This window comes from Homo sapiens, chromosome 1 (assembly GCF_000001405.40).
Source record: "Homo sapiens chromosome 1, GRCh38.p14 Primary Assembly".
NCBI classification, from domain to species: Eukaryota; Metazoa; Chordata; class Mammalia; order Primates; family Hominidae; genus Homo; species Homo sapiens.
Genome location: NC_000001.11, coordinates 116,641,910 through 116,659,619, shown reverse-complemented (window position 1 = coordinate 116,659,619; position 17,710 = coordinate 116,641,910). Strand labels below are relative to the sequence as shown.

Genomic DNA, 17,710 nt, shown 5'->3' with positions numbered 1-17,710 from the left:
ACCCCGTCTCAAAAAAAAAAAGGGAGTTCCTCATTTGCCATGAGTGGACACCTGCTTCTTTACTGCTTCAAAGTGAACACAGCTATTCCTTGTAAAGGGTTGGTTTTTACTTTAAGGAAATCTAGAACACCTGTGTGTGAATGCCCCCTGATTTTCAAAGAAATGAGTGGTTGCATCAAAATCAAGCTTATATTTGTGGAAAATCACATGTTGCCAAATTCTCTCATCAAGAACCCTTTATTAACTGACTAATTGTGGGCCATGGTGGCAGGCACTTAACAAAGACCATGGCAGCAGACCTCCCTCAACTGGAACCCTCAGTTAAGTGGGATTTTGTTTTTATTTTTGAACTCCACCTTCAGAAGGGCAAAAATCACAAGATGTGGTAGCAAGGGTTTATTCTAGAAATTAGCTTCCAAGCAGTCGTCAGCCCAGTCTGTATGTCTTCCGCATCTATAATTATAGTAGCAGAAGAGAATGGTGAGCCTGGGGCACTGCAAGATCCTAAATCAAAGATTAAGGCATATTAACTCTACCCTGCCTGGAAAGTGGTCAGTTGTATTTTAAAAAGCTTTACAATAGGCTTTCTAATAACGAGAGTTGAAGCAAAGTTTCCACCTAACCCTGTAATTAAATTCACCAGAAGACCCCATTTCCCATTATCCAGACGACCAAGGCTTTGCCGAACACCACCCGTCCCTGCCCTCTAGGAGAGGTCATCCAAGGCCAGCAATGAAACAGTCAATCAATTTGCAAATGGACAGGAGGACACTGACAGGATGTGTTCACTGAGGGTAGGTGTCTACTGGGGGAGAGAGGCCAGGCAAGTCTGTCCTTGTTTTCAGTTTAGCAGGAGGAGTGAAGGGGAGGCCAGAGTAACTCCTGAGTGGTCAATCTGGAAAGGCCTTTTGGAAGGGCTGGAATTTTAGGCATTTTTCTTAAGTAAGAGGAGAGTGACGTCCTGTTGGAATTGTGGGGTAGAGGATATTCTGGGCACTTCTAAAGGGGTGGAGAAACCTGAATGTCCTGGGATGGGAACCCTAAGGGTGTAGATTTGTAAAAATTGCTGCAGTCAGTTGCCATGAGGACTGGGTATCTGGGCTAGAGACAGGTGGGCGACATCAGAAAGCTGTGAGTGGATATCCTGGAAGACCACTGAGAGGAGGAGCCAGGAATGGCACCAGACATTTCTGAAGGTGGGGGGCCCAGAGGTCGAAGCAAAGGGGGGCCTGTTTCTGTACCAAAGCAAGAGCTTCTGTATATCCATCAAAACATAATCAGGCCAGGCGTGGTGGCTCATGCCTGTAATTCCAGCACTTTGGGAGGCCGAGGCGGGTGGATCGCTTGAGGTCAAGAGTTCAAGACCAGCCTGACCAACATGGTGAAACCCCATCTCTACTAAAAACACAAAAAAGCCAGATGTGGTAGCGGGTGCCTGTAATCCTGGCTACTTGGGAGGCTGAGGCAGGAGAATCTCTTGAACCTGGGAGGCGGAGTTTGCGATGAGCCGAGATTGCACCATTGCACTCCAGCCAGGGCAACAAAAGCAAACAAAACAAAACAAAACAAAAAACTCCATTTCAAAAAAAAAAAAACCATAATCAGAGCAAAGACATTCTAACAAAACTGTGAACTCGGAGAAATGAGTAATGCCTGCTTCCCGTCAACTTTCAGGTGTCCAGGCCTTCTCTTTATTAAAACAGAAAAAAAAATCTGATACCAGTTGTGTGTTCTTTCTTTGATGTAGTGCAGTTTGCCCAGGCTTGCCTTAAGTTGGTGCTATTTTTGTGTATTTAATTCTGTTTTTGCATGTGACCCATTGTCTGATGCTTCAGAATGCAGTCTGCGGCCTCCTTTTTGATAGCAACTCTGAGAACACTGTCTCTGCTCTCGGCAGGGCACTGGGTACACCTGTGGCATCGCTGGTGCCATGGCATGAGGCAGGCTTCCCACTTCACTTCTCAAGGACCCATTTTATTAACTCTCCTTCCCCCAGGAGCTCCGTATTTTGAAATCTTTGGTTTCCCAGACCATTAGGGAGTAATTAAACCTTTTTTCCCACATGATAACCAGTATGATCGTTCACACTTGATATAGTCCAGTTCTAAAGCAAAATTAGTCTAGTGGTCTGGGTTGCGGATGACCAAAGCACACATGTTTGATCCATTAGGTTGCTTAGCCCTGTGGTTAGGGAAAGTGGGGTTATTGTTAGGTGATTTTGAAATCTCTAAGGTCGTCAGCTTCCCAACCCCATGTGCTGCTTTGGGCCTTAGGAACCTTGGATAACCTGGGTGGTGTTTGCCCACTACTTCTTTGCATTGGTGACCTTGATTGACCTTGCTAGGTGGCACTTTTCATCAGGGAGAGGAAAGGAGATGCAGAGTTGAGCAGCCATCATTTGCTGTGGGTCAGATCACACCTACCCTATCCCAGCCAGATACAATCTATTCCTTTTTAAAAAGACTTTCAGAGAATGAAATTTTACAGTCTTTTTTGTATAACGCCCCCAAAAGGAAATCTTGATTTTCACTTAAGATTTGATTTGAAGTAAGTCATGATTTAGAACAGCAGACAAAATGTATTGGGGTAAAGTATTATGTAAACGTAAGATGAAGAGATACTGGTTTCTACTTCAGGAGGTAGCTTATATTTGTTTGCTTTAATTAATTAATTAATTCATTCATTCATTTTTGAGATGGAGTCTCGCTCTGTTACCCAGGCTGGAGTGCAGTGGCACAATCTTGGCTCACTGCAACCTCCGCCTCCCGGGTTTGAGTGATTCTCCTGCCTTAGCCTCCCGAGTAGCTGGGATTACAGGTGCCCTCCACCACGCCCGGCTAATTTTTGTATTTTTAGTAGAGATGGGGTTTCACCATGTTGGCCAGTCAGGCTGCTCTCCAACTCCTGACCTCAGGTGATCTGCTGCTCCAGACTCCCAAAGTGCTGGGATTACAGGCGTGAGCCACTGTGCCTGGCCTAATTTTTGAATTTTAATTTTTTGATGGAGGTAACAGTGACTATAATTCTGTTACAAGAATGTAGAAAGTCACGCCTGTAATCCCAGCACTTTGGGAGGCTGAGGTGGGCAGATCACAAGGTCAGCAGATTGAGACCATCCTGGCTAACACAGTGAAACCCCAAATACAAAAAAATTAGCTGGGTGTGGTGGCGGGCACCTGTAGTTGCAGCTACCCGGGAGGCGGAGGCAGGAGAATGGTGTGAACCCGGGAGGCGGAGCTTGCAGTGAGCCGAGATTGCGCCACTGCACTCCAGCCTGGGCAACAGAGTGAGACTCCGTCAAAAAAAAAAAAAAAAAAAAAAAAAAAGAATGTAGAAAGTAAAATGTGAAAGTTCCCCTCCTTGTCTATGCTCCTTATTGACTTTGATATAGATTCTTTATAGTTTGGTATATGTTCTTCCAGACCCTTTTCTATGTATATACTTACACAAATATATTTTTTCTGATATAAATGGAATCATGCGGAACATATTGTTCAACAACTTGATTTTAAAGGGATGATTTACTTCACTATTTTTTCAGGCTTAATTTTATGGCTATATCAGAACTGATTTGGTTATTTTATAGCTGGTTGAAGCTGTAATTTGTGAAATCATTGGGGAGTAGTGAGCCTCCTTCAATAACTATATAACAATAAATTTTGCTGTATCAGGAGAGCAAGTCATAATAAAAATATTACCCTTAAATTTTAATGTATTTAGTGAGAATAATTGACTTGTTTATTCTGCATATTTTCTTCAAAAAATACATAAATTCATCAAATTAAGCACGTTCGTATTTTATTGACTATTTTGCTATAATTTTGAAATTATGTTAAATTAAAATGAAGCCTGTTTGAAACCTGTTAAGATGACAACCATAAATACTTAGTTTTGTGTCTAATTCAGTTAAGTGTTCTTGTTTGTTCATGGACCAGAAAAAAAGTTTTCGTGTGTTTTCAATTCCCAAGTGACTCCTCCAGATAGAATGAACTGGACCCGAGTAGCCTTTAAGGTTGCTGGCTACGGGCTCAGCATTTAAGACTTTAACCCAAAGGAAGAGAACTTTTTTTTCTCAACCCCTGCAGCAACAGTTATTGCTGTAAAAAGATTATCATTTCACAGCGTTGGGTTACTTCTCAACGTTCACGGGAATGACTTTCTTTAAAACCTCTGGGAGCAAGAGCAGTTTCTTGGATGGCTCACCTTTAGACCTGATTTTTAAAATAGTTGTTCTTTTGGAGAGATGGCTGTGGGATTCATGTGTCATAGTCATCCCTTCTTAAACATCAGTGTTTGACTTTCTATCCCTTGTCCTGAGACCTCTGGGGGTAGCCCCTGTTCTAGTAGAATCTACTTCTAATACTTTTCCTAAGAAGGCTTTCCCAAGAAGTTCATTCAACAAATAACCGAGTGCCTGCTACAAGCATTCATTGTTCTGTTATCTCCGGTGCCACAGAATTCACAGTTAAAATCATGACTAACATTTTAAGTTGTCACCTGATATGTATTTTTAATCTTTAATAAATAGAAGGATTAATTAAATACACTGTGACATTGGGGAACTCTTTTTTATTCCTAAGGTACATCTTTTTTCTTGCCATTACTTAACCTCTTTTCTTCCTGTTTTGTTCTCAGCTCTCCTTTACAGCCATGAGTTACCAATGCCCGGTGCCACCAGGAAGAGGGGGTATCTGTAGGAGTAAGATGATGAATAGCAGTGATAAGGGGAGAGCGAGGAGAAGGGAGGGGGCTCTGAGGAGGCTAAAGGGCAAACTTTTATTCTTGAAAATACACAAATATCCCAAGTCCTGGGTGTGTGGAACGTCCTTATTACTGCTGGGGATGTTGCTTGTGTGTGGGAATTGGGAATTTCACACCTAGCTCTGAATTTCTAGGAAGCCCAAACAAAAGAGAAATAGAAATAGAGAAATCACATACTTCCCACCAGAGAGGAGACACCGTCCATACCAGAGGAGCCTCGTATGGGGGGTGGTGAGTATAAGGCCAATCCATCTTCCCCACCTCATACTTTGCCTCCTGCAGTGTGGCCTCCCTGAGGGCGCCCTGGCAAGGGAGGGTGAGGGACCCTCATCAGTATGGCTCTTACAAATTCCCAGAAGCTGCTGTAGCAGCTCGATGAAGGGCAGGCTCTTCCAGGTCTGTTCCTTGCCAGATGCCCTCTCCCAACCTGGGGTTAACCCTAAGGAGGCATTGATCTGCACTTTTCTCAGAGACACTGGTGACCTCCTGGGTAGCCAAGAGCTTCCCCCTTCTCCGTGAGCCCTCTGAGACTGCAGGTCCCAGACGGTTGTAAATTCTGCCTGGTGGAAATTGCCAAGGTGCCAAAGCAGGTGCCTGCTGCCCTCAGGAGCCTCTGTGCAGGGCCATTCTTCTCCCTACAAGCAGCACTTCTCAGAGACCTTTCTGGTTTTCCTCTTCAGCTTTGTTTGGCAGTGGTTTGGTGTTGGTTTGGAGATGGTGGTGTGTTGGGAATTCTGCTTCACATAGATGGACATGTTTGTTAGTGTGAGGAATGATGGTGCAGATATTCATTCCGGGCTTACCCCAAACTAGGTAACCCTTTATGACATTGTTTAGAGATGATTTGCTGAACAGTTTCATAATGCCTTCTGATGTTTCAGTACAAAAAATAGCTTGCTGAACAACGTTACAATCTGTCTTCTGATATTTCGTTACAAAGAAGCAAGAGCACATTCTGAGCACGCTGCCCAGTGCTTTCGCCTTCTCTCTGTTGGAGCAGGTGATTGGTTCCAGTTCTGCGTTTCGGCACCTCTGTGGCTGGGCATCCCTCTGAACTGTGCACTTCTAGAAGGGAGCAACAAGATAGAGAACTAATATGCCTCTAGGCCTGAGTTCATTTTAGAAAAATCTTTGTAGATTTCTTGCCCAGTCCTCTTATTTTAAAGGTGAATTGTCCTAGAGGGAAGAAAAAGACCATGGTGACCTGGGTGGGTAGAGGGTGGAAGGAGTACTGGAAAATGCCCCTAACAGGAGATGAGAAAGAGACTCTGATGCACGTCATCTTTGTTTTAAATTAAAACATTATGCAATACAAACATTCGCCTTCCCACTCTTCCCCCTACCACAGAGGAGCTGTAATTTCCCATATTTGGAATTTGGGGAGAGCTGGGCCTCATTTGAAGATAAGGCCAGATTCAGTCTCTGATTTGGGGGGAAGTAAGTAACTGAGAGAGCCTTGAGGACTGTGGTATTTATGGTGAATATATCAGAACTATATGTGCCTCCTTGTCATCATTTATTCAACACCTCTGATGTCCTAGAGCTGGTGCTATGCCCATCAGTAATCTGACTCTTGTTTTCTTCTGCATATTTTCCCTTTTGCAAATGTATAGGCATTCAGCTTTAATCAAGTAGGCTTTTTACTCTGTGATCTGTAACGGGGATGACTGAAGTCATGTGGAGGATTTTAAGTAACTAATCTCTTAAGACATTCAGAGCATAATCTTCCCTAGCCCATGATCATCCTGCCTGCATCCGAGAGATTTGTGAGGCTCTGCAAAGGAGGCTGGATGGGGACTTTGGCATCCTTTGGAGAGACTGGGTGTCTTCCTTGCTGGGGACAGGTTTTTGTTTGCTTTTGGCATGGGGACAGAGCCTGCTGTTCATTTACCATGTCAAGAGAGTTCAAGATGCCCCATGAATGTGACCAGTGTGTTACTAAATCTCCGTACGGGTACAGAGAACAATGGCAGGCCAAACACACATGAAGACACTGTCTAGGCTCATTGATGTTTATGCAGTTTGTGTCCAGGGCTGGTTCTCAGGGAGAAAAATGGATAAGATCTGCAAAATAGATAAGAGAGGACTGCTGGTCAGTGGTGTTCCCTGACATTTTTCCTTGAATGATACCAGGTTAATCAAAAGATAAGGATCTAAAATTTTTTTGTGCTCTGCTTATAATTTGAATGTGACTTCATATGTGTGTCATCTGTTGGACTAAATTGGATTGCAGTTGCTCTTCAAATTGTCATTCCTTTATTTTCTATTTCTACCTACCTCCTGATGTTAGCCCAGGTTCCTGCTACCAAGGTGTCTTGCAAAAGAATTTGGTGACTGTTACTCTAAGTGAAGCTTTTGATACTTTCTCTTAATATAATGGTTCAACCTCTAACAATGTAGACTAATGAGGAAGATTAGTTTGAATTAGTAAAATGTCTGAATTACCAAATATTTTTCAAGAACTTCACTGTTATTACTTTTAAGTAAATACTGTAACTCAAACTAGGCTAATAGAATGCCTAATAAAGATCCTTAGGGGATACTGCTTTAGGAGAGAAATAAGAATGATTTGCAATTAGTGCACCAATTGTTTATGTAAATGGAATTTCTGAAATACTAGACTGAGCTTGAAAACCGTTTGTTCTCTTAAGTATTTTAAATAGTCCCTATGAAACCCCTGTGCATGCTGGTAGTTGTTTATATGCTGTATAGAGACCTGTTTCATGAAGACCTAACTCAACCTTATATCATCAGTATCAGAAATTCCAAGTTAGTGACGTCCAGGATCCTCACCTTCCAAGATTAGATTAGATCTCTCTGCCAAATGCTTCCATAGCACATGCAATTGTCTGTTGTAACACTAATCAATACATTTAACAAATATATGATGTGTTCTGCTATATGCTTGGCCAGTGTGTGAAATGGAGGAGACATAATCCTCATCTTTGTGTAGTTTATAGGCTAGCAAAGAAGTCAGGCAGTAAACAAATAAATGCATTTATAATTAATTACAATCCTGAAGTTGGATTGTACTTTTGTGAGTAATGGTTTAATAAACTAGATTTTAAGTTCCATTAAGATAGGGGTTACTTCTGTGTTGTTTGTCATGGTGTCCCAAATCCTTCCTTAGCCTACTGCTTGGAATAGAGTAAATATTAAGTTGAGCTTTATTGCCATTTTGATAGGTCAGAAGCAGTCGAATGTCAATAATGTCACATAGTTCAACCTAATAGTTGCTCAGTCAATATGTATTGAATGTTGAATGCATGTTGTAATCAACGATCCTATGGTAGGCTGCATTTAACACAGTTTTCTCTAGCCAAAGAAATGCTAGCTATGGTATTTGAAAAGGAATTCTAAAACTTCAAACAGCTAAAACTGGTGATCTGTGATATAGACTGTGGGACTGGATATCTGTGAGACTGGAGTGCCTTTTGTCCAGTATATTTTCTATGCAGTTCTTGGTACATTTCCCAGCCTCAGGTGGGAGCATGTGTATTTGGGTCTGGAGTGCTTGTCAGTAGCCCAAAGAACCTGGGAAGAGTATGCTGGAAAGCTAAGATGGAAGGCAGGGATAGGAGCCATTTGGCCTGAAGAAGAAAGAGGCAGGAAAGAGATACTGGCATAGCCAAAGAAGCCTTCCCTTTAAGTCTTAGTGTAGGGAGACTTACTTTTCCAGACCAGAGCTCATGAGATCATGCACTCATTCCACAGATTTGTGTGAGTCTGTGATGTGCTCAGTTATGGCTAGGCATGGGCGTTCCTTATTGTGAGCTTCCTTTTTGTGCCTGGAACTTCTGTCTGAAGGGTTGTGGGCTGGACTGTAGACCACTGGTCCTCAGAGGCAAGGGTTGAACTGAGGAGAAGGCCCCAGCTGGATCCCGCTGGGAGAAGCCCAGCACTCTGGCCTGGGGCCTGCTCCCTATCTGTGGAACTGGGAGTAGGGCCCAGGCTAGGGCTTAGATCAGAGCTTCCCAAACCTTCTGTGTTAAGAACGTTTTTGCATCTGTTTGGATTTCATGGCTCTTTTTCCATTTTCTGTGCACACATGTCCAATTGTAGCACCCTATTATAATGCACACTCTTTTCTCACACCCACAGGATAATTTGTAGTTCCACAGCTATTTGTTGAGCATCCTTATCTGCCAGCACAGGATGGGGGTGGCAAGTGAGGGGAAACACAGATATGTGGTATTGGTCCCTGCCTGTGGTAGACGTGATTGGTTACCTACAGTGGCTCTTCTTTTCTCTTCCTGTTGGCAGGACCCAGTTGGGTTGGATGCCACACCTCTCCCACATGCCACTCAAGGAAAGGTGACCCTGCCTCCAGCTCTAGGGTACGTGCTGATTGAGCTGAGCCCATCCTGGAGGCCCGTAATTTAGACATGGGCGTGTGACATGGTTTTGGCCACTGAGGTATGAGAAGTCTGCTGGGAGATTCTGGGAAAGATGTTTTTCATTGTAAAAGGAAATGCAGAAGGGACAGCTTCTTTCACTAGATTCTCGGACATGAAGCAGCCATCTTGTTGCAATGAGGAAAGCAGGTTTGTTGAGGCCAGCAGACGGGAAGAGATGGGAAAAACCCTGAGGGCCAAGCCCCTGAAGACTGAACAGTCCAATCTCCATACATTTTGTCCTCACTGTTGAAGCCAGTTGAGTTGGAATTTTCTACTACTTATAGTGTCTAACCTATGTTAGACACTCCCTCAAAGGAGCATGAAACAGGATTTCTTCTTGTACCATTCAGATTATCATCAAAAAGCACATTATTCAGAGACAGAGCTTAGCTTTGTGGTAAGGCAGAAAGGAGAGGGGAAAGCAAGTTGGTAGGAAAGAGTTGAGTGAGGAGATTGTATTTGAAATGGATCCTGAGGTAGGATTAGGATTTGTGTGGGAGGAGCAGAAGGGCGTTCTGGGGAAAGGAATGGTGGCATGAGCAAACCTGTGAAGACAGGTGTGGATGTGGCGCTGCCAAAAAACAGGGAGATTATGTCCTGACTAATTCCACGGACAGATTCTAGAGCACCTCAAATTGTGAGTTTATATGGTGACACGTGACTTATGCAGCCGGAAAAGTATTACAGGCTTATGAACAGGGGAGAAAGGAATGAAAGTGGGCCTTGGGAAGAAGGATAAGGATTAAGTAGCTGGGTACCAGGTTCTTTGGAAGGGGAAGAAAGTAAAAGGCCAGTGACAAGTTCAAGCTACTGGAATAACTCACATTTGAGTTGATAGCAGTGCGGGGAGGGAGTGAAGCTGTCAAAGGAAGATTGTAATAAATTAACTGGTGAAGAAGGGTAAGATGGATATCTAGGGGAGGAAGATGGAAGAGGAAGATTTTAGGAAGAGGAAGATTTTAGGAAGATGCTGTTTGCCTTTTGCCACTATGGCTTTGAGGTAATGAGGAAAGATCTAAGTAATGAGGCGTTGAATTCATTTGAAAATAGGGCTAGACTTTGGGAATGAGAGGCCAAGGGTTAAGAGGATGTGGTAGAGGCAACTCACTAGACATGCACATACTCCAGATTTTCCAGCCTCCCTCACAGTTCAGTTGGGGCCATGTGACTAGCGTTAGTCAATGAAGTGGGAGAGGAAGGAACCAGGGAAGAGCCATGTATTCCTCCATTGATTCCTTCCATGCCACAGCAGCCTTGGGCTAGGGCCAGAAAGTGTGGCTGCCAAGACGGGGAGGGCTGTCCTTCCAGGACCAGACTTTGACGGTTCTTGCTCAGCTGGGAAATCCTGGTAGAAGCGAGATCTGAAGCTGTAATGGGTGGCAGTGCTGACAGCTATTTGTGTTGGGTCTGGGTGGTATGTGGTCTTCATGGTACAGTTGTCTACCTTCTCCTGACTTGATTTGCTCAGGGGTCTGCTGTCAATGGGCTGGAGCTTGCTGGCTGACTCATTCTACCTCTAGGACTCTCAGTGTTTCTGGGGGCAGGTTTACATCTTGGCTGTCCAGGGAAGGGCATCCTTGTTCATGAGCTGTGCTGGTGAGAAGGCTGCTCTCTCCACAGGCACCAGAATGCCAAGTGCCTTGCAGAGGAGAATGTTTGGGTGGCTGGGGTCCAGTGGTGACCAGGTGGAGTGTCTCAATTATCTGGCTAAACATGGAGCTTCAGGAAGAAGTTCCAGATCTCCAGACCTGAATAGGAATAAGGTGCAAATCCCATCTTTCAAATCTTTCCCACTCTCAGAAGAGTCAAAATGTGCCTTTTCTGCAAGCAGTCCGGAGCTAGGCACTTTGCACACGCTTTGTTACAGTGTTGCATCAATCTTGCCTGGCTGAATCATGGTGTTTTCCTAAGGGCAAAGGGCCTTGTGAGTGCTGGGAGGCCTTTGGCTTTGGCATCTGGTTTTCGTCAGGCAGCAGGTAAAAGTGCAGATGGCGGGTCTGACTGTGCTTTAAACAAAGCAGAGTTAGACACGTGGGAAAGGCATTTGAGAGGCACCTCTTACTCTGTGTGTGATCTCCCGTGCATCCTGTTTCTTCTCTAACCGAACACCTCAACTCCTAATACCCAGAGGAAAACCCTTCAGACTTGGGAGACAGCCGGCATTGCTGGCATTGTCCTCTCTGGAGCTTTTCTTGATAAGTTTGAAAATTTAAAGACAGTGGTGGCACTGTTTCTCTGTTGAATGGAGAGTTGACATTCTTATTTTTCCTTCCTCTTCTACAAAACTGGGGTGTCATCAGATCAGTGTTTGCTGCTGCTGTTGCGTTCTTGGGTAGCCACTCTTTTTTTTCTTTTTTTGAGAGGGAGTCTTGCTGTGTCGCCCAGGCTGGAGTGCAGTGGCCCAATCTCAGCTTATCGCAACCTCTGCCTCCCAGGTTCAAGCGATTCTCCTGCCTCAGCCTCCCGAGTAACTAGGATTACAGGCGTGTGCCATCACACCCAGCTAATTTTTGTATTTGTAGTAGAGATGGGGTTTCTTCATGTTGGCCAGGCTGGTCTTGAACTCCTGACCTCAGGTGATCCGCCCGCCTTGGCCTCCCAAAGTGCTTGGATTACAGGCGTGAGCCACCGTGCCCAGTCAGCTGCTCTTATTTTACACACTGCTTCTGGCTGATAGGCCTACAAGGTCTAAGCTTAATCCCAGAAAAAGTGCTACCCGAGTGGTCTGTCAGTCGGCCTTTCGTTTGTTTGTCTTGTTCCGGTCATCCTTGCCTCTGTCCGCCCAGACAACATTCAATCAACATTTGTTATGGAGCCAGCAGTATGATTTTGCAAGTTACTTTTCTAAACTCTCATTTCCTCATCTGTAAAATAATAGGAAATACTCATTAGGGTGATTTTAAGAGTTAAATGGAAACATCTGAGGAAAGCACTTAGCATCGGTCTGGCACATAGTAAGGGCTCAATAAATGGTGGTTGTCATTATTGTTGAGCAGAGCCAGGGGTTGCCACCCCGGTCAGCTGATTGGCTGTAGACATGGTGTGACCATTTGGAGCTGGAATTTGGGCCACACTCAGCACATAGTTGCGAGCCATAAAGGCACGACCTTTGGACCCCATTGTCACCTCCCTTGGAATATCTTGGTGTTCTTGTTTCAGTCTGATAAGGCCATTGTAGCTGGGTTCTAGGTATCTCTGAGCATGGAGCACTCACGCCAGCCTCAGACATCGCTGTCAAGGGCATCGGCAGCAGTGAGGTGATTCCTCAGCCGGTCATTTGGGCATCGCTGCCTGGGTCTCTCCTGACCTTCAGCCTCATCTTTTTTGTCACCTGCCATACCTTTGCCTCTAAGTGTCCCCCAGTTTTTATTGCTGCCCTCTCCATCTGCACCAGTGCCTCTCTCTGCCAGTTCCACTGTTCTCTCGCCTGCTCTTTAGGATTTCCTTTGTTTTGCCTCCTTGCCTGGTGCTTTCAGCAAGCAGCGCTGACGTCATCTCAGGAACTGTGCTGCGTCTGAGAGAAGAACCTGCATTAGCCGTTTAAGTGTGCGGTGCTGGCAGAGTACCTCCCTGAAGGTGTCCTGGGGAAAGTGAGTGATTGCTCACTGGGTGGTGAGCCAGGGGCAGGGTTTGGGGAGACATCTGCATTAGCAAGTTAGCATCACTTGAAACACAGGCATGTAACAGGCAAGGACGTGCTCTTCAGCTACCAGGCTGTCCTGGCTGTAGCCGGTGGCCACAGACCTGAGGGACCCCGGCTTTGTTCCCTTAGCTGGCTTTGTTCCCTTAAGCTGCCTTTGTTGTCTCAGTGTAGCTCTCTCTACCTCCTCTGTATTTCACCGCTGACAACTCACTCGATTCTCCCTCTGGCAATCTTAGTTACCTATGAATACTCTTTAACGCCATCTTCTGCCTTCTCAATGAATTAAGGAGATTCTCTCCTTGACTGTTTGTGAGCCAAAACCTAACCTTCTCTTGGCTGATAAGTATTAATATATTGTGCTGAGAGGAACTTTTGGAGTAAAATTAGACATCAAAAAGAACTGGCACAATTAGTTTCCAAGGCTTTTAAGGTTCCTGGAAGTCTTCTGAATCCATCCTCTTTGTGTGGACCCCCCCCAATTCTCCATCTTCCTCCTAAAAATAACGATAATGGCGTTTCACCAGAAGCCGGACAAAAGAAGGCTCTGTCTGTTTCGCCTGTGGGAAGTGACAGGAACTGCTGAAACTTGTGTTCCGTGTCACAGAGCCAAGGGTTCACACGGTGCAGAAACAAATCACAGTGTGTCACGGAGACTTTTTCTGTCTCCGGCCCCACTCTGTATTTGAGCCCAAATGTGGAGGGAGATGCTGCAGTTGTGGGAAGGCACTTCTATGACCCCTCATTAGGGTAGAGGAAGTGAGAGGCCTGAGGCCACAGCCAGGCTGGCCTTTTGCAAAATGGTCAAATCAGCAGCAATTCGGCCCTGGCTCCCACTTTGTGCCCCACCCACCAACTCCTGCTACCTCCCATCCCCACTCCCAGCGCAGTCGCGTCCATGGCTTCCAGGGCCCCACCAGGCTGCCCTCCCTGTCTGGCTGTGCTCAGCCGCTGTCCTGGTTCTCCCCAGCATTTCAGTACTTTCCTGAGTCCTCCTGCTGGTCCTTGACTTGGCTGGTTGGAAGGTTTGTGGATCATTAGAGCCACTTACTCACACTGAGGAAAGAAAACAGAAGTGGATATTTGGGGAAGGCCTATGTGTTGCTTGCTCTGTGTGTTCACTCACATTTTCTGATTTCCTCCCTACAGTTCCCCTGCCCGGGGAGTGTTATGCAGCCACCTGTACAAATGAAGCAGTTGAGACCCAGTAAGCTTATGTGATTTCTCCAAGTCATAGCCAGCATGGGCCACTACTTTGAGCTCTAGATAAGGAAAAGGAACCTAGTGTTTTAAAGATTTGCTTCATTGTGGTATAATTTGCTTACATACAACGGAACTCACCAGTTTAAAATATGTAATTCTTTGTTGACAAACATGAGCAGCCACATAATCACCACCTATCAAATATGGACCATTCCTCTGTCCCCAAAAAGTTCCCTTGTGCCTTCTTGCTACCAGCCCCTTTCCTGCCTCCAGGACCCCAGCCTCAGGGGACCTGAATCCTGCCACTACAGTTTTGCACTGTACAGAATGTGATGCACATGGCATCCTACAGTGTGTAGCCCTTTGAATCTGGCTTCTCTCACTCAGCACAGTGCTTTTGAGATCCCTCCATGTTCTTGTGTATATCTAGTTCACGCCTTTTTATTGCTGAGTAGTGTTCCGTTTTATGGATATACCACATTTTGTCCATCTCTTCACAAACTGATGGGCATTTGGGTTGTTTCCAGTTTGGGGCTACTATGAATACAGCTATTAGGATGTGTACAAGTCTTTGTGTGGACACAGGTTTTATTTCTCTTGGGTAAATACTTAGGAGTGGGATTGCTGGGTCATTTGGTAACTTTGAAAGAAACTACCAGACTGTTTTCCAAAGTGGCTGCACCATCCTACCTCCCCACCAGCCATGTATGAAGGGGACCGGGTACTTTTGATGCCTAATCTAGGTTCTTTTCCCTATATCGTAGTGTCACTGGCTGCTGAGGTGGGAATTGCTGACTATCACATTCACATGCCCTGAGCCTGTCCTTTTCACAGGAATTTCTTGGGAAGTCTGACCATTTGGAGCCAGTTGCTGGTGGGGAGGTTTCCTGAGGAGGTCCTTTCATCACACAGGGCCGCCTCCTCTGATGGCTGATCGCCACACACACCCTCCTTTGCTGCCCATCCTCTCTGCTGTCACCTTGGTTCATAATTAAGATTCACCTGTGGGTGACGTGGGACCCACTTGCAGCCCATGGACACTGGAACAGTCCATTCTGTGCAGTTCGCTTCCTGGCTTTCACGGCACCTACTATGCTGGCTCCTGGCCAGAGATGGAGTTAGAGGTGTCCTGTCCCAAATGAACCTGCATGCAGAAGCCACTGGGGCAGTGGGGACACTGCCTCAGCATCATCACGGCTGCCAGAGGCTGAATTCCTGCTGTGCAGGGCTGTGTGGAACTGCTGCTGTTATATGGCGCATCTCCCGTCTGGAGCTTGCTGCTCAGGGCTCTCCTTAACAAGCGGCCAAATGACTGCAGTTTTCTGCATTGTTTTCCTGTGAGGTCCCTGATGTTTTGAAAGAGCCAAAACCAGACAGGGATGCTATCAGGTTGCAGTTCTGCTCTGCTGTGGTGTTTCTGTGAAATGGAGAGGAGGATTTTGAGGAATGTGTAGTTGGGTTTACTTTTGTCTTTATTTGTGGGCACGTTTCCTGAGTGGGGACCACTGATAATTAGGTGTTCTTTGGTGTAGGGGCCCAGATGGACAGCGTGGGACCCCTTTCTAAGGGATTGTCACAGTGAGAGGGCTGAGCACTGAAGTTTATCTTGCAGCATGCGTGCTGGGAGCAGCCCCTCCAAATTGGTGCACGTGTTTGGGGAGGGCAGAGACCAGGGCATAGACTGGCTGGCAAACTCGCCTGCTGGGCTGAAGAGTCCTGACCTTGCAACTGGAAGCTCTGCTTTCCTGCCCTTTCCCTGATTCCTGCTAATTTTATGACCTTTCATCAGTCACCTGACCTTTCTGGACTTCAGCATCCTCACTGTAGAATAGAAACAATGATCCCTCTTTCACAGGGATCGGAGGATCTGTCGCATGTCAAAGCCCTTTCTACACCTGTGACAACACAAGACGTGCCCGTAGACACCTGAGCATGGGCGTGGCAGAAGGCCAAGCTCACACCCAGGAAGCCACCTGCCCTTCTGCTCCTCATCCTTGTCAGTCGCTGTGCCTGCATCCCCAGGAGGACCTCACGGGACTGGGAGGGCCTGGGACAGGCTGGCCACAGGCTGGCCTCAGATCACCAGGCATTGAGACCTCCTGCTAGCCTCAGGCTGACAGTAATAAATGTACAAAGGAGGACAGAGCTGCTGAGGAGCAGCTGGGAGTCCAGACACAAACGACTGTCGGAGGAGTGAGTCAGGGCCTCTGAAGGTCACTTGAGGAGTGTCCGCCCTGAATCATTGACCTGCGGCATGAATGGAGAAGTAGCTGGGATACCAGCCCTGGGGCAGTTCCGTTGGGTGGATCTTTAGAAGAGAGAGGTGGCGTGGGAGGGGTAAGAGCACTGATTTGGGAATCAGAGACCTGGGTTCTTTAAGTCACTTTATCCAGGACTAGCTGTGTGGCCTCAGACAGGTTGATAGCAGTTTCCTTTCTGTGAAATGATCAACTCCAGAACTATTGATACCTGTCACATTGTGTTTGGGGAATGAGACTCAACAGCGGAGCCTGCACCATGACCCTGGTGCCTCTCCCCCATCCCCCTGCGCCTTTTGGACCAAGAAGTGCAGGCATAGATAGAGCTTTGCAGCCTCTTTTGTTCCTGGATGGTGGATCCCTGTGGTTAATGAATAATTGCTTTAGGGGCAGAGGTGAGGGGAGTGAGTATTGCAAGTGAAGATGGGTGGGACAGGGAGGTTCCAGGTGGTGAAATATTTTCAGGCAACAATCTGCAGAGAAACCTGACCATGACTCAGCTAAGCAGTGGGCTCACTGGCAGGTGGCCCTGGTGGCCCCCTGCTGACATCTGCTACTACTGTGTGCTTCCAAGTCCCAGCGAGCAGCAGCGGTGATTGATGATACTACAGCGCATCCCAGGAGCTGGTATCCCAGGGCAGCGCTGCACCTGCTGGCAGCCAAGCTCTTCAGGGCAGGACACCGGCCCACAGCCTCGGAGCGCCCAGTTCCAACCATCAATTTTAATTCTTGTGAGGCTTTTCTTTTTCACATTTGGTTACCCTGTTGAACCAATCTGCTTCTTCCCACCACTATGACAGTTTTTAGCTCCGTTCTAGGCCAAATTTTGCTCTGGCCCGAGTCCCACTGTTTGTTTCTTTCATGTGTATCTTTTACATTCTGGGAGCCCTGACCGACTCCCAGTGCCTGAGCCCCTTCCCCTAAGCGTGGGGACTCCCGCCTCAGGTCTGCCCTGTTCCAGCTGCTGGAAGGCATCCAGAATTCTAATGTTATTCATCATAGTTCCAGTTTCACTACAAAGCATATGATTTGACCTCTTATCCTTACTAAGTCATTTCAGACTTAGGGAAAAAATACCCACTTAAGGATAATTCTTTTACCAAAAAATTTCGTGTTTTTTTTTCTAATAAGAGGTAATCCATGCACATGTTAAAAATCAAAAATCAGATGCGAGGTGTGTGGGAAAAAAATGAAATGTTCTATATTTCAAAGTAAAACTTTGGGTGACAAAAACTTCAGTGATTTTTAATGGTGATAATAATATCAGTAGTACTTTTGAAATCTGATGTTGGGCTGGGGCACAGTGGCTCATGCTTGTAATCCTAGCACTTTGGGAGGCTGAGGTGGGAGGATCACTGGAGCCCAGGAGTTCGAGACACTGTCTCTCCAAACAAACAAACAAACAAACCAAAAAAACTCAGGAGTTTGAAGCTGCAGTGAGCTATTATTAT

General features: G+C 46.0%; 1 protein-coding gene across 6 annotated transcripts in view, besides 5 other annotated features; it reads left to right on the top strand.

The window, feature by feature from the left end:
• The window catches only part of IGSF3 (immunoglobulin superfamily member 3), a 93,358-nt gene that overhangs the window by 8,136 nt on the left and 67,512 nt on the right, over positions 1-17,710 (top strand). The gene's annotated exons all lie outside the window — the stretch shown is intronic.
• Positions 11,969-12,699: an enhancer, noted in NCBI's record as "NANOG-H3K27ac-H3K4me1 hESC enhancer chr1:117189543-117190273 (GRCh37/hg19 assembly coordinates)". NCBI's record gives its function as "activates a minimal SCP1, AML or CMV promoter by ChIP-STARR-seq in primed H9 embryonic stem cells {active_cell/tissue: H9 hESC(primed)}" and the evidence as "EXISTENCE:reporter gene assay evidence [ECO:0000049][PMID:30033119]".
• Positions 12,700-13,430: an enhancer, noted in NCBI's record as "NANOG-H3K27ac-H3K4me1 hESC enhancer chr1:117188812-117189542 (GRCh37/hg19 assembly coordinates)". NCBI's record gives its function as "activates a minimal SCP1, AML or CMV promoter by ChIP-STARR-seq in primed H9 embryonic stem cells {active_cell/tissue: H9 hESC(primed)}" and the evidence as "EXISTENCE:reporter gene assay evidence [ECO:0000049][PMID:30033119]".
• Positions 13,431-14,162: an enhancer, noted in NCBI's record as "H3K27ac-H3K4me1 hESC enhancer chr1:117188080-117188811 (GRCh37/hg19 assembly coordinates)". NCBI's record gives its function as "activates a minimal SCP1, AML or CMV promoter by ChIP-STARR-seq in naive H9 embryonic stem cells {active_cell/tissue: H9 hESC(naive)}" and the evidence as "EXISTENCE:reporter gene assay evidence [ECO:0000049][PMID:30033119]".
• Positions 16,052-16,735: an enhancer, noted in NCBI's record as "NANOG-H3K27ac-H3K4me1 hESC enhancer chr1:117185507-117186190 (GRCh37/hg19 assembly coordinates)". NCBI's record gives its function as "activates a minimal SCP1, AML or CMV promoter by ChIP-STARR-seq in naive H9 embryonic stem cells {active_cell/tissue: H9 hESC(naive)}" and the evidence as "EXISTENCE:reporter gene assay evidence [ECO:0000049][PMID:30033119]".
• Positions 16,736-17,421: an enhancer, noted in NCBI's record as "NANOG-H3K4me1 hESC enhancer chr1:117184821-117185506 (GRCh37/hg19 assembly coordinates)". NCBI's record gives its function as "activates a minimal SCP1, AML or CMV promoter by ChIP-STARR-seq in primed H9 embryonic stem cells {active_cell/tissue: H9 hESC(primed)}" and the evidence as "EXISTENCE:reporter gene assay evidence [ECO:0000049][PMID:30033119]".